The 12,892-nt window shown below is 52.8% G+C and overlaps 1 protein-coding gene across 4 annotated transcripts in view, besides 3 other annotated features; it reads left to right on the top strand.

Moving 5' to 3' along the window:
- CDH4 (cadherin 4) overlaps positions 1–12,892 on the top strand; it is a 688,357-nt gene that overhangs the window by 302,497 nt on the left and 372,968 nt on the right. The gene's annotated exons all lie outside the window — the stretch shown is intronic.
- Positions 1,542–2,043: an enhancer, noted in NCBI's record as "H3K4me1 hESC enhancer chr20:60131355-60131856 (GRCh37/hg19 assembly coordinates)". NCBI's record gives its function as "activates a minimal SCP1, AML or CMV promoter by ChIP-STARR-seq in naive H9 embryonic stem cells {active_cell/tissue: H9 hESC(naive)}" and the evidence as "EXISTENCE:reporter gene assay evidence [ECO:0000049][PMID:30033119]".
- Positions 2,044–2,543: an enhancer, noted in NCBI's record as "H3K4me1 hESC enhancer chr20:60131857-60132356 (GRCh37/hg19 assembly coordinates)". NCBI's record gives its function as "activates a minimal SCP1, AML or CMV promoter by ChIP-STARR-seq in naive H9 embryonic stem cells {active_cell/tissue: H9 hESC(naive)}" and the evidence as "EXISTENCE:reporter gene assay evidence [ECO:0000049][PMID:30033119]".
- Positions 8,184–9,084: an enhancer, noted in NCBI's record as "H3K4me1 hESC enhancer chr20:60137997-60138897 (GRCh37/hg19 assembly coordinates)". NCBI's record gives its function as "activates a minimal SCP1, AML or CMV promoter by ChIP-STARR-seq in naive H9 embryonic stem cells {active_cell/tissue: H9 hESC(naive)}" and the evidence as "EXISTENCE:reporter gene assay evidence [ECO:0000049][PMID:30033119]".

Consider the following 12,892-nt stretch of genomic DNA (forward strand, 5'->3'; position numbering starts at 1 on the left):
TATGTGCATATGTGCATGGTGTGAACATGTTTTCACACGTGCACATGTATGCACATGCGTGTGAGAGTATGTTCGCATCTGTGCATGTATGCGTGAGTTCGCATGTTTGTGTGTCTGAGTAAGCTCACGTTTTACATGTATGTGTGCAGACATGTACATGTGTGCTCGTGTGTGCATGCATTCTTGTGCATGTATTTAGGTGTGCAAGTGTGTTTACATGGCAAATATATGTGAAGGTGCCCTCCCAGTATTGCCCATGTGTGTGCACACCTGTGTGCATGTATGAGCATATGTGAGTGTATCTGTATATGATGTCTGCCCATGGGAGTGCTCTTCCAGTATGAGCCGTATGTGTGTGTGTGTGTATGTGAACATAGGCGTGTATACAGGGCACATGCATGGGGTTGCCCTTACAATACAAGTTGTAGCTGCTGCTTCATTTGCTTGTTTCTGAGAACCAGGCAGCCTCCTTGTGAGTGGTTTCTATGAGTGTGTGCAGAGGTCATTTTAAGAGTGAAGATGTATTTATCTTTAATTTTGGCGAGGATGCGGAGTGAAGCAGTAAGGGCAGTGGGGCCTGCTGGCATCAGCCTTGCTTTCTCACCTCACAGCTAAGTGTGGTGCAGGTAACTGGGTGGGACCCACCAGGGTAACCTTTCGCAGGATGTGCAGGACTGTCCTGCTACCTGGAGCAGGACCCTCTGAGGACAGGGTCTCATCCTCCCAGTGCCTCCCTCACTCTCCAGCCCGGTCCATTTGCCATGACGATCATGCCCCACACCTGGGGGAGAAGCAGTCCCTTTCTGTCTTTCTGGTTATGTTCACCTCTGCAGCCATTTGCACAGAGACTAAAACGGATTTGATGTGATGAATCACAAAATCACACCCTTTATTCGACAACTCCACATAAATAGCGATTCCATTTGGAATGAATTGGACCCATGTGGTGAGTTATGGGCTCATTAGAGTAGCAGAGCACATTCCTTTATCATATTAAGTTTATTTAAATCACACATAATGTTCATTTTTAGAAACAATTCATACCTACCTTTAAGGAGTCATCAGTATTGCTCCAGGAAACATGATACAATCCCGTTTCTGGCAGGATTCACACGGTTTCTAGTCGTGTGACAATGTGATTCCATTATGTCTTCCCTATGGGGACAGCCCATAAAGATTGATTCTACATTAAAAATGGTATTAAAGAAAGACAGCACATTGTGTATGTACCGCCCTGTGGCTCTGAGCACGAAGCCGCCCTCTCTCTGCTCCGGTGCACCCCATGGTGGGCTCGCCTTGGTGTACCCCCCATGTGGGAGACACAGATGTTCTCCTGCCTTTCTCGGTCAGAGCAGCCGTGACCACAGAAGTTTGCCAGGGATGCCTTGAACTTCAGCAACAAGAATGTGCATTTGTGCATTGGTGTTTTCAAAGCTTGGATCTGTTCTAGAAAATCTATCCACCCAGGGCCAGGATGATCTGGGCAAATGCAGGCTTTGTCCTCTTGTGAATTCCCACTGTATGTGTCACCAGAATTCAGAACATAGTGGAGAATCTCTCAGGCCTTTTATGATTCAGAAGAAAGAAATCATGGAGAGAGAGGCTCCGGGGGGCAGGGGTGGAGACGGGGATGACACAGTCCTCCAGGCAGAGGAACTGTGTTATAATCACCACTGGTATATCTGGGTGTTCTGCACACAGACTTTTGTTAAACAGCAGAAGGATCTTTTAAGAGAAACAATGAAAGTCCAAACAGAAGCTTGAGTGTTTTCTTAACTGTGCCACAATTGAGAACAAATGGAACAAGGGGGCCTCTTGGCCATCACACGGCGAAGACTCTGTGGTCCAAAATTCCCGTTTTCATAGCGTCCCACCTGACGACATGCAGTCTGCAACTTATGCATCAAAATCATGCTTTCTAGAGGCCACCCGTGTAAGCCCGCGTGCTTCTCCAGTGCCCCCAGTGGAGGTCCCCCAGTCTTGGTGCCCCCCACCTTGGTGCTCTGCCTTGAGGCAGGTGGCCAGTGGCTGTCCTCTGCACAGCTGCTGTCAGACAAGGAGGGTGAAAGGGAGCTGTGGTCGGCCCGTCCTCCGACCACAACTCCGGGGCAACAACACCGAGAACACGTGAGGCGCCGCCATCCTCACACCAGGGCTGATCCCCGCCTCAGTTTGGGGCCTGATGAATAGAAATGTCACTGGAGATGGATTTTCAATTTAATCGAAAGAAAAGCTTCTCTCTGGGGCTTTCCAAATGTGAGGTCATCCCTTGATGAGTTGGAGAGAATGCTTTTCAGTTTTAGCCTTCCTCTTGGGTGTGTGGGTGTTGGGTTCATGGGTGAGTGGGCATCCTGCAAGCCATAAGCTAATACTAAAAAGGTCGGGATTGATGCTGGAGTGGACACGTTCTGTGATCGAAGACAGGATCTTTCTCTAAAGGGCCAAGGAGTACGTATTTTAGGCATCATCACCATGCAGCCTGTGTCCCAATGACAACACACTGCCATTGTAGCACAAAAGCAGCTGTTGGCAACACCCAAGCAATGGAAGAGGCTGCCCTCCTGCAGGAATATTCGCACAACCCAGCGGCAGGTCCCCTGCAGCTGAGAGCCAGAGTTTGCCGACCGTTGGCTGATCCAAGGGACTCTTAGGTCTGTGTGACTTTCACTAAGACCACACAAGATCATGCAAAAGCCAATTCCATTCCATGGTTGCCGTCGAGTGGGAAGTAAATTTTATGCCCTCCAGGACCTTGGTCTGCTCACTGCAGACTTCTGGTATAGATTAATTGAGTTTCTTCTTGTGATAGCTGTTATTTGGATAGCTTAGAGGAATGAGAAGAGATAAAACTCATGAGTGAAAATGCCGCTCTTTTACATTCTTGCTCCAAATCGCATCTTTGTGTTAGTGGAATGGCCACACTTTTGGGATATGCTTCGATTTCGGCGGGAGAGGGAACCACGGAGCGCCTCTTGAGAAGGCTCGTTAAGGGCGTGAACGTGCAGCCACCTGCATTTTAATCACTCAAAGACAAACTCGGGCCATTCTGTGCTGGTGGAGCATCACTAATTCTAGTTATACGATAATGACGCGGCGCTGGATTTTAGGAATTAGGCCTCTGAGATCCATTAGCTGTGTGGTGCACCGTCGCTGAATGAATGGCTGTATTATTATCAAGGTAATTCAAAACAAATTTCAAGCTGTGACAATAAAATGGTTCTTGTAGTAGGTTGGGGTTTGTGCTGAAATTGCCAGTTGGAATGAGAACAGTTATGTTTTCAAGCTCGAGTTTTGGTGGACTCATTTTAGGCTGACTCACTTTCATTAAATTCTGAACAAATTTTTTATTAATGTGATCATATCAGACTTGGACAAACTGTGATTATTGGGTAATAATGAAGGGGTATGTCTTTCACCCCATTTAGCTGCTGGGTGGTTTTTGGTCTAAGATTACACTGTTCTTATCTATGTTCAAGATAGAGAATACTCAAGAATTCACACCAAGAACCCTGTCCCTGGGCAGAGTTGGTCCCAAATCTAGGACCATCCTTTCAAAATCCTCATGTTAGTGGCACCTGCCCCCCAAGTCCCATTTCCATCCCCCTTACTCATGCTTGATGCCATCAGTACCCATGGAGAAATTCTTTTCAGCGGCAAAAGTGTAGGTAACTTTGTAAATCCTTTATCTTATTTCTAATGCAAAGGGGATAGAAGAGGATTTTGTAGCTCTCTGGGGCTACCTGGCCATCCCTAGAGCCCACACTGGCCTGCGGCCTCTGGACCTGCCCCCATCTCACCAGTACTGCCTCACGCAGTGCAGGAGATGCTCAGGAAATGCGTATCAGGCAAAAGAATGAAGGTCGTGGTAGTGATCATGTTTTGAGAAACGCTGCAGGCTCCATCACAAGAGCACAAGAAAATGGTCCCAGGAGAGCTGCGAATAGCATCCCGTGCGTCCCGTCTTTGCCCACTACCCTCAACACATGTCAATACTCATTGTAGTAACAAGAAGTCATTGCCTGCATTTACCAAAATGTCCCTGCAACACACACAGCAGCCTCCTGAGAAGGTCTCACCTCCGGAGTGGCCAGCATGCCGTGGTCCCCGTGGCGAGCACCGTGGGGCCGCTGGATGGCTTTGCTGCCTGCCAGCTGGCCCCAGCCTTGCGATCCCTCACTGATGAATCACCAGCTGTGCTAAGTGGCTTTAAAGACTAAATTATTTTCTTCCTGTTAGGCAGACCTGAAAGAAACCTGACAGGGAAACAAAAGCACTGCTGGGCCGGGCGCAGTGGCTCACACCTGTAATCCCAACACTTTGGGAGGCTGAGGTGGGCGGAGCATGAGGTCAGGAGTTTGAGACCAGCCAGGCCAACGTGGTGAAATCCCATCTCTACTAAAAATACAAAAAATTAGCTGGGTGTGGTGGCTTATGCTTCTAATCTCAGCTACTCAGGAGGCTGAGGCAGGAGAATTGCCTGAGCCTGGGAAACGGAGGTTGCAGTAAGCCAAGATTGTGCCACTGCACTCCAGCCTGGGTGACAGAGTGAGACTCCATCTCAAAAAGAAGAAAAAAATTTTTAAAAAGTATTGCTGCTCGTTGGAATGCTGATGGCCATCACTGGGGCTGGACCGAAGGGGAGGACCTCCGGGAGCCACCTGCAAGAGACGGCGCGCTGTCGGGAGGAAGGCGGTTTCACTGGTCTGATCCAGCAGTTAAAGATCACCCAGTTAGAGTCTCCTTTCTTTTTAATTTTTTTTTCTTTTTTTTTTTTTTTTTTTGACACAGAGTCTCACTCTGTGTGTGGCCCAGGCTGGAGTGCAATGGTGTGATCTCGGCTCACTGCAGCCTCCCAGGTTCAAGAGATTCTCCTGCCTCAGCCTCCCGAGTAGCTGGGACTACAGGCGTGTGCTGCTTCACCTGATTAATTTTTGTATTTTTAGTAGAGACAGGGTCTCACCATGTTGACCAAGCTGATCTTAAACTCCTGACCTCAAGTGACCCACCCACCTCCGCCTCCCAAAGTGCTGGGATTATAGGTGTGAGCCACTGCACCCAGCCGGATTCTCCTTTCTCCCTGCATGTCCCAGCTGGCCATGCCGCTGGCTTCCCGGGGCTTCTTGCTTGCCAGTGCGGTGTGCACCAGCTGACCTGGCCTTCCTCGGAAGAGTGGAGGCCCTCGGCTGCATGCACTGCCAACCTCAGAGCACCACGTCTCAACCATGGACCCTCTGTCCATCGACATCCAACTTATTCTGCCATCAGGCATTAGGTAGCCCAAGTTCCCAGCAACGAGTGCATAGAGGAGATCGACCCTGCCACTCGAACTTCGGAGTCGCTTGTTTGCTCTGCTTATCTGGTCGGCGGAGACAAAGGAAGACCCCCTGTGGCAGACCCTGGGAACCAATGTCATCAGCATCCCAGACAGTGAATCCCCCCACCTGCGGGTGCTCCCCACTTTTATCAAGGCCCGGGTAGCAGATTTAAAGAGCACGTGACTTTTTAAATTGCTATTTTAGTTTCAGGGGGTACATGTGCAGGTTTGTTTATTGCCTGATGTCTACATGTAAAACCTCAAACTATGAAGATCCTAGAGCCAAACCTAGCAAATATTCTTCTGGGCATGTGACTCGCAACCATTGTTTGAGGAGTTTTGCATTGATTTAAGCTTATTTGAAACTTTATGGGTGTGTGTCACAGTTGTGGGGGAAGTTATCCTGAAGATGCTTCCAGATGCCAAAGCCACGTTTTTAGGAGCCACAGCTCAGACGGCCCTGGGCCAAGTCCTTGGCCAAGGTTCCCTAGCGGGTTACTTACCCCGCCCTGCACTCCAGCGCCTTCATGTGGAAGACAAAGGTCACAGCAGCCCCACCCGCGGGGCCCTGGCGAGGGCTGAGTGCCTGAGTCCACAGAGGCCTTGGAATGCTGCCCAGCAGGGCTTAGCTTCCAGGAACGTGAGCCATCCCCAGGTCCTGGTGACCACCTCGCCATGAAGGCAGTGCCCCAGAAGGAGCCCGGGTCTCAGCCTGGGGGCCCTCAGTCTGTCCATCCGGGGATAGTCCTGGCCTTCGCAGCGGGAGCTCTGGACCTCCATACTGGATCCCCCAGCCAGCGGACATGGAACCAGCCAACCTCTTACTCTCCCCAACCCGGATGAGAGGGACGGGCCGGGGTCACCGCTGTGACCAGCCGTTTATACCCAGATGAGCAGATGACCAGGCAGGGGATGCAGTTTTGTGATCTTGGTGATCAGGCCATTGATTATGCCCCGGGCCCAGGTCCCCACCCACAGGCAAAGCCTCTGAGGTGCCCGAGCACTCCAGGAATCATCCTGTCACCATGCTTTCCACATAGCTGTCCCCACCCCACCACCCCCAAGACCTGGGTGCACAGACTCAGGAATTCAGAATTATCTCTTTTCGCCATTGTGGTAAATATGGGGAATCCAGTATCACCTCTGTTCATGTCCTCTGCATCTGGTGACCACACAACCCACTCCTGTAGGATGGGAACTGAGCCAGAGGGCCTGCCAGATGTGCCACAGGGCTTGGCCCTGTGTTTTCACCACAGCCTTAAGGGGAAGCACAGGCGTCATCCCCGTTTTGCAGATGAAATGTGAAATGCTAGAGCACGAGCAGTGGGTGATTGCTCCCAGCCACATGGCGGGTGCAGGCCAAGCCAGGGCTGGAGGCCCTGGGCCGTCCCTCTTCCCGTCTCCTCCAAGTGGCCTGCGTGTGTCCAATGTACTTAGAAAAGGAATGATGCTTTAGGAGAATCTGGTAGAAAACACAATGGCAGGTGGGTTTCTGCCTTTGTCCCAGTGGGTTCCAGTAAAGGTAGACTGTGGCCCGTGAGCCCAATCTGGCCTGCTGCCTGTTTTTACAAATAAAGTTTTATTGGAACTCAGCCATGCCTGTTTGTTGGCATCCTATCCTGCTTTTGTGCTATGAAGGCAGAGTTGCAAGGGGCTAATTTAGCCACAAAATGAGCATGTTTACTATCTCGCCCTTTACAGAAAACATTTCTGACCCCTGCTTTAGGAACATGGACAAGAAGAGAAAAACAACCCACAAAGGTTTATAGCTCCTTTCCTGTGCTGAAGAGCTGGCCCTTCTCTGGGCCCCAGTGGCTGCATGCGCCATGTTTCTGGGCAGTGACCATATGATGGCAGTAATGCTGTGTCTGGAAATCCTGACCCCAGGGCTCCCAGAGAGAGAGAGGGACCTTCGTGTGGAGAGGTGGACCCCAGGGCTCCCGGAGAGAGAGAGGGGCCTTCGTGTGGAGAGGTGGACCCCAGGGCTCCCGGAGAGAGAGAGGGGCCTCCGTGTGGAGAGGTGGACCCCAGGGCTCCCGGAGAGAGGGACCTCCGTGTGGAGAGGTGGACCCCAGGGCTCCCGGAGAGAGAGAGGGACCTCCCTGTGGAGAGGTGGACCCCAGGGCTCCCAGAGAGAGAGAGGGACCTTCGTGTGGAGAGGTGGACCCCAGGGCTCCCGGAGAGAGAGGGACCTCCGTGTGGAGAGGTGGACCCCAGGGCTCCCGGAGAGAGAGAGGGACCTCTGTGTGGAGAGGTGGACCCCAGGGCTCCCGGAGAGAGAGAGGGACCTCCGTGTGGAGAGGTGGACCCCAGGGCTCCCGGAGAGAGAGGGGGACCTTCGTGTGGAGAGGTGGACCCCAGGACTCCCGGAGAGAGAGAGGGGCCTCCGTGTGCAGAGGTGGTTTGTCGCTTCTTTCATCTTCAGGACAGTCATTGCCTGGGAAACTGGGGGGATTGGTCCGAACCCACCTTGTACACCCCAGACTTGGTGCGTCCCTGCAGGATCTGAGCACAGAACGGCCTGCTTCAGCCCGGCTGCCAGGCCTGCAGAGCAGGGAGAGTCCCCATGGAATGCCACTGTTCAGACCACCTGTGGTTGAACAGAGCAATACAGGAGTCTGTTCCAGCTGCTCCCACCTTGCCATGGGAATGGTTCTCTGATTTATTATTTTAATTAAGGGCTTTTAAGCTTTAATTTAAAAAGTTAAATCGGCTCTCTTTATATGTAAATCGTGGTTCAGTGAGTTATCACACATTGCCAGATGCACACTGTCATCGGATGGAAGAGCACTGTCCTGTCCGGGACCCCAGTCCCTGAGTCTTCACGGCTCCTGAAGCAGCAACAGGACCCCCTGGGATCTCAGCCCAGGGATGCTGACTGAAGCCCTCCCAGGAGCACGGCTGGGTCCAGGGGCACCAGTGGCCCTGCACTGTGCTCACAGTCTTGTCCAGCGGCTCCCGGAGCAACCTCTCCTGACCTGTGAAGTCTACACGAGGGTCCGTGGGGAGCCCAGGCTCAGCACTGCCCAGCGGCAGCTCTGCTCTTAGCTCCAGAGTCCGGAACAACCTCTCTTGACCTGTGAATTCTACACAAGGGCCCACGGGGAGCCCAGGCTTGGCACTGCCCAGCGGCAGCTCTGCTCTTAGCTCTGGAGTCCCCTTGCCGGCTCCAGGAAAGCAATGTGAAAGTAGCCGTTTTCACAAAGCAGGCACTCACCATGTTAGCAATCAGCTTCCGTTTCTGCTCCTTGAAACGCCTTGGGAAGAAGGACCCTTGTAGGTGCAGAGTGCCAAGGGTGTGGAGAGCTGGCCGGCCCAGGAATCCAGCCCCAATGTCTCCCTCCTTCTCCCTCACTTGCTCCAGGTGCTTGGTGTCAGCCTTTAGAAAACATTGGTCCTAATTGTTCTCTTTCTTTTGGGCCGACACATTCACACTCAGCAGGGGTGTGCAGGGTGGTAGCTGCTGCTCCAGGGGCTGCCCCCTCACCAGCATTCCATGAAATAGTTCCTTCCACTACCCGTGGAGTCCAGCAACTGGGGCCAGGTCACTCTGCCAGGCAGCAGATTCTCCATGGGTCCTCGCTAGGCCACCCTGCTCCACATGCCTGCAAATGCAGCTCCCTTCCAGCTGAAGTGCCTGGCACCCCTCATTGGGAACACAGGGACAGCTCACCTTTGCTGAGCCCCCTCTGTGTGGCTCTGTGGAGCTGTGTCCTTTCGCCCCGTAATGGGCATAGGGTGCGTTATATTCTGACTGCTTGGTAGATATGAAGCTGAAACCCAGGCAGGTTCTGCACCTGTTGTATTAACAGGTGATGCGTGCAGTAGTGGGGCCTGGATTACAACCTGCCTTCTTGGCGGCAAAACTCTGCTTTCTTCCATTGGCCTCTCAACCTACCCAGAAATGAGACTAATTCTGCCCTCTCCTTCCCTCATTCACTTCTCTGTCCGTCCCTCAATGCACCTCCTCTCTGTCGTCACTGCCCTCAGTCTCCTGTGAGGACAGCGTTTGTGTTTCTCTCAGTCTCCCTCTCCTTTCTCTTATAAGGACATCAGTGGTTGGGTTTAGGGCCTACCCTAAATCCAGGACAACCTCATCCTAAGACTCTGAGTTACATCTGCAAAGACCTTTATTCACAATGAGTTCATATCTGAGGTTCCTGGTGGACGTGAATTTGGGAGGGGGCACTGTTCACCCCACTCTGGCCATTAAGCACAGTGTGTGTGGCTTTGTGTGTGATCTGGGTGGGATGTTTGTCGCTTCCTAATCTCATGCTGAGATGTGATCCCCAGTGTTGGAGGCAGGCCTGGTGGAGGGGATTGGATCTTGGGGGTAGATCCCTCATGAATGGTTTAGCGCCTTCCCCTCGGTGCTGAGTGAGTTCTCGCTCTGAGCTCACGGGAGAGCTGGTCGTTTAAAAGACTGTGGCACCTCCCCCTCCCTCGTGCTCTCACTCTCACCATGTGATGCCCTGGCTCCGCTTCACCCTCCACCATGATTGAAGCTTCCTGAGGCCCCACCAGGAGCAGATGCCAGCACCATGCATCCTGTACAGCCTGCAGAACCACAAGCCAAAATAAAACCTCTTTCTTTATAAATTACCCAGCCTCAGGTATTTATTTATAGTAATGCAAGAACGGAGTAACACATGTAGATAACCCCACCCTGCAATTCCAGTGGACACGAGCTGGGATCGGGAAGGAATAGAAGGTGGGTCTGAGAGTGGACATAGCCCTCCCTCAGGGATTCAAACAAGCAGCCCTTCCCATAGCAGGCGAGGTCCCCGGGGGAGATGCGGGAGCATAGGGAGTTGTAAATCCACAGCATTCACTCCACTTGGTTTTCGTACTGAGCCTCTGAAATGTGAACATGTTACCATTTGTTTTCATGAGGATTAAAAAATATCACAGGAAAGCAGCCACCTGGTAGACAGCGGGTACCCAACACACTGCTGCTGGATTTGTTTCTTTGCTGCCACTGGTGGTGCTCTTGGTGGTGGTGGTGGTGGTGGTGGTGCTCTTGGTGGTGCTCTTGGTGGTGCTGGTGCTCTTGGTGGTGCTGGTCCTCTTGGTGTTGGTAGTGGTCCTCTTGGTGATGGGGTGGTGGTGGTGGTGGTCCTCTTGGTGGTGGTCGCGGTGCTCTCGGTGGTAGGTGGTGGTGGTGGTGGTGGCGGTGCTCTTGGTGATGGTGGTGGTGGTCCTCTTGGTGATGGGGTGATGGTGGTGGCGGTGCTCTTGGTGGTGGCGGTGCTCTTGGTGATGGTGGTAGTGGTCCTCTTGGTGATGGGGTGATGGTGGTGGTGGTCCTCTTGGTGATGGGGTGATGGTGGTGGCGGTGCTCTTGCTATTGTTGTTGCTGTTCTCTGTGAGGCCTGATCAGACCATGTAACAACCCTAGAAAGGCTATGAGGAAGAGCTCAGCCACCTCCTTGGGGCTGTTTCAGGCATTTCTTCCCTGGCATCTAGGTGTCCCACTTGCACACCTGAGGCCCATGAGGTCCCATGCCATGCAGAGGTTAAGCTCCATGGGTGGTAGATAAATTACCCAAACAGGTGATCCAATGTCTGCATGCAGTTGCAGCTGGGGCCACAGACCCCTACCCAAAATGATTGCTCACCCCTGAGAACAGAGTAAGGCAGTGCCAAGATACACAATGCAGGGAAAGGCTCCAGCAGACCCTGGCAGAGGAGAAGCCTCCTTCCACGTAGGGAACAGCATCTGCCTGCAGAGGGCTGCTGCCAGGAGCCAGCCGAGGCTACATGCCTGCCTGGACGCTGTCATGAGGTTGCTGCCGGGGTTGCTCAGCTGCCTGGGGTGAGGGTGTCTGCATCCACCCCCTCTGTCCTCATGGGGTTCTCCAGCCCCATGTACACTGTTGCCTCCCACCTGATGGGAGGACCCTCGTCTTGTCCCCGTTGCCCATCAAGTGCCTGCCACCGACAGTGGCCCCAGCCCTTTCTCGGGTGCACAGTGCCACAGCCGGTGGGTCGCTGGTCCTCTGCTTCCCTGGTGCCTCGGGCTGAGTCTCCTGCTGGGGCATCACTGGGCTGCTCTCGTCCCCGACAGACTCACCCACTTCTTCCACCCCTGCATGGTCCCAGGGCTTCCTGCCCTTGCCGGGCCCATGTGGCTGACTCCTCCGCTGTCCTGCTGTTTCCCACCATGTCTGACCATGAGCCGCCTTTTTAAGGAAAGCAGATTGGACCAAGTGTTTCTCGCCTTTCCGTTGCTTTTGGTTCTTCCAAAGGTTTTGAAAGTGGTTGGAAAACATTCTTATTTTCTCAGGGACCATTTTCAGCTTCTCTACCAAGGATGAAGAGTTGGAGTAAAAATGAATTACAAACTGGCAGAGTCAGTATCCACCTATTTACCACGAGCCGGAGACTTTCAGTGGTTGCCAGCGTAGAACGCTCATTTTTATTAACCCTATTTCCTTCAAGTGTCTCCTTCCATGGAGATTGACAGGCCCCGCACATGGACATGGGGAGAGAGGAGGTCTCTGTGTCTGCAGCGCTCTGACATCCTGCAGGACGGGACAAGGTGGCCCCGAGGACCCGTCAGTGCCCACGGGGTGCCCATAAAACTTTAGCAGTGGTACATATTTACCCAAACTTCACTAAATCACTTTCTAATTTACCAGTCATTGCTTGAGAGGCCGGAAAGATTGGAAGCCCAAAGAACTGAGCAGGGCCGATTCTACCGGGAGAAAGGGTCACCGAGACACTCAACAGCTCGCTTATCGGTCACTCTCCGGGCTGCGCCTCCTCGGGGAGTTCTGGGTTTGCGCGGGAGGCTGCCGATGGCACGCGGCTCACAGATAATGCGGGAATGGACTGCGTGTCTTCCTCCCAGTGTCTTCAGCACACGGCTGTTGCCAGCGGCGGTGATGGGCTTGCCTGCCTCGGGGGAGCTGATGGGAGGAGGGGGAGCTTTGTGGACACTGAGGAGCTCTGTGAGGTGGAGAGCAGCTCTGTTCCAAACGCCCATATCCGTTAGCATGGGACTCAACCTGTCACCCTACATCCCACCAAGCTGCCATCCAAAAATCACTGTTTAGTGTATCTGTTAAAAGTAGCATGTTTCAAATTGCACAGAAAATTCCGAAAGCTGACAGCACGCAGCTGGGCACCTGTCTCCGAGCCCCCCAGGAAAGGCCTTTGTAAGCTCTTCTAGCTGGGGACGGCAGAAGTTACCTTAGTCTATTTAGGCTGCTACAACTGCAGACAGACTGGGTGGCTTAGAAATAACAGAAATGTACTTTTCACAGTTCTGGAGGCCAGAGTCCAAGGTCAGAGAACCAGCAGATTCAGTGTGGGGTGAGGTCCCGCTTCCTCATTCATAGCTGGTGCCTGCTCATTGTGTCCTGGCATGGCAAGGGGAGAGGGATCTCTCTGGGGCCTCTTTTATAATGTAATTAACCCCATTCAGGAGGGCTCCACCCTGGGCCCCTTCCAAAAGCCCCACCTCCTGACATCATCACCTTGGGGCTTAGGTTTCAACACACAAAATTCGAAATTTGGGGGCACAAACATTTAGCCATAGCATCAACAGACTGTTGCAGACCATGCCGGGTCCTC

This window comes from Homo sapiens, chromosome 20 (genome assembly GCF_000001405.40).
Source record: "Homo sapiens chromosome 20, GRCh38.p14 Primary Assembly".
NCBI classification, from domain to species: Eukaryota; Metazoa; Chordata; class Mammalia; order Primates; family Hominidae; genus Homo; species Homo sapiens.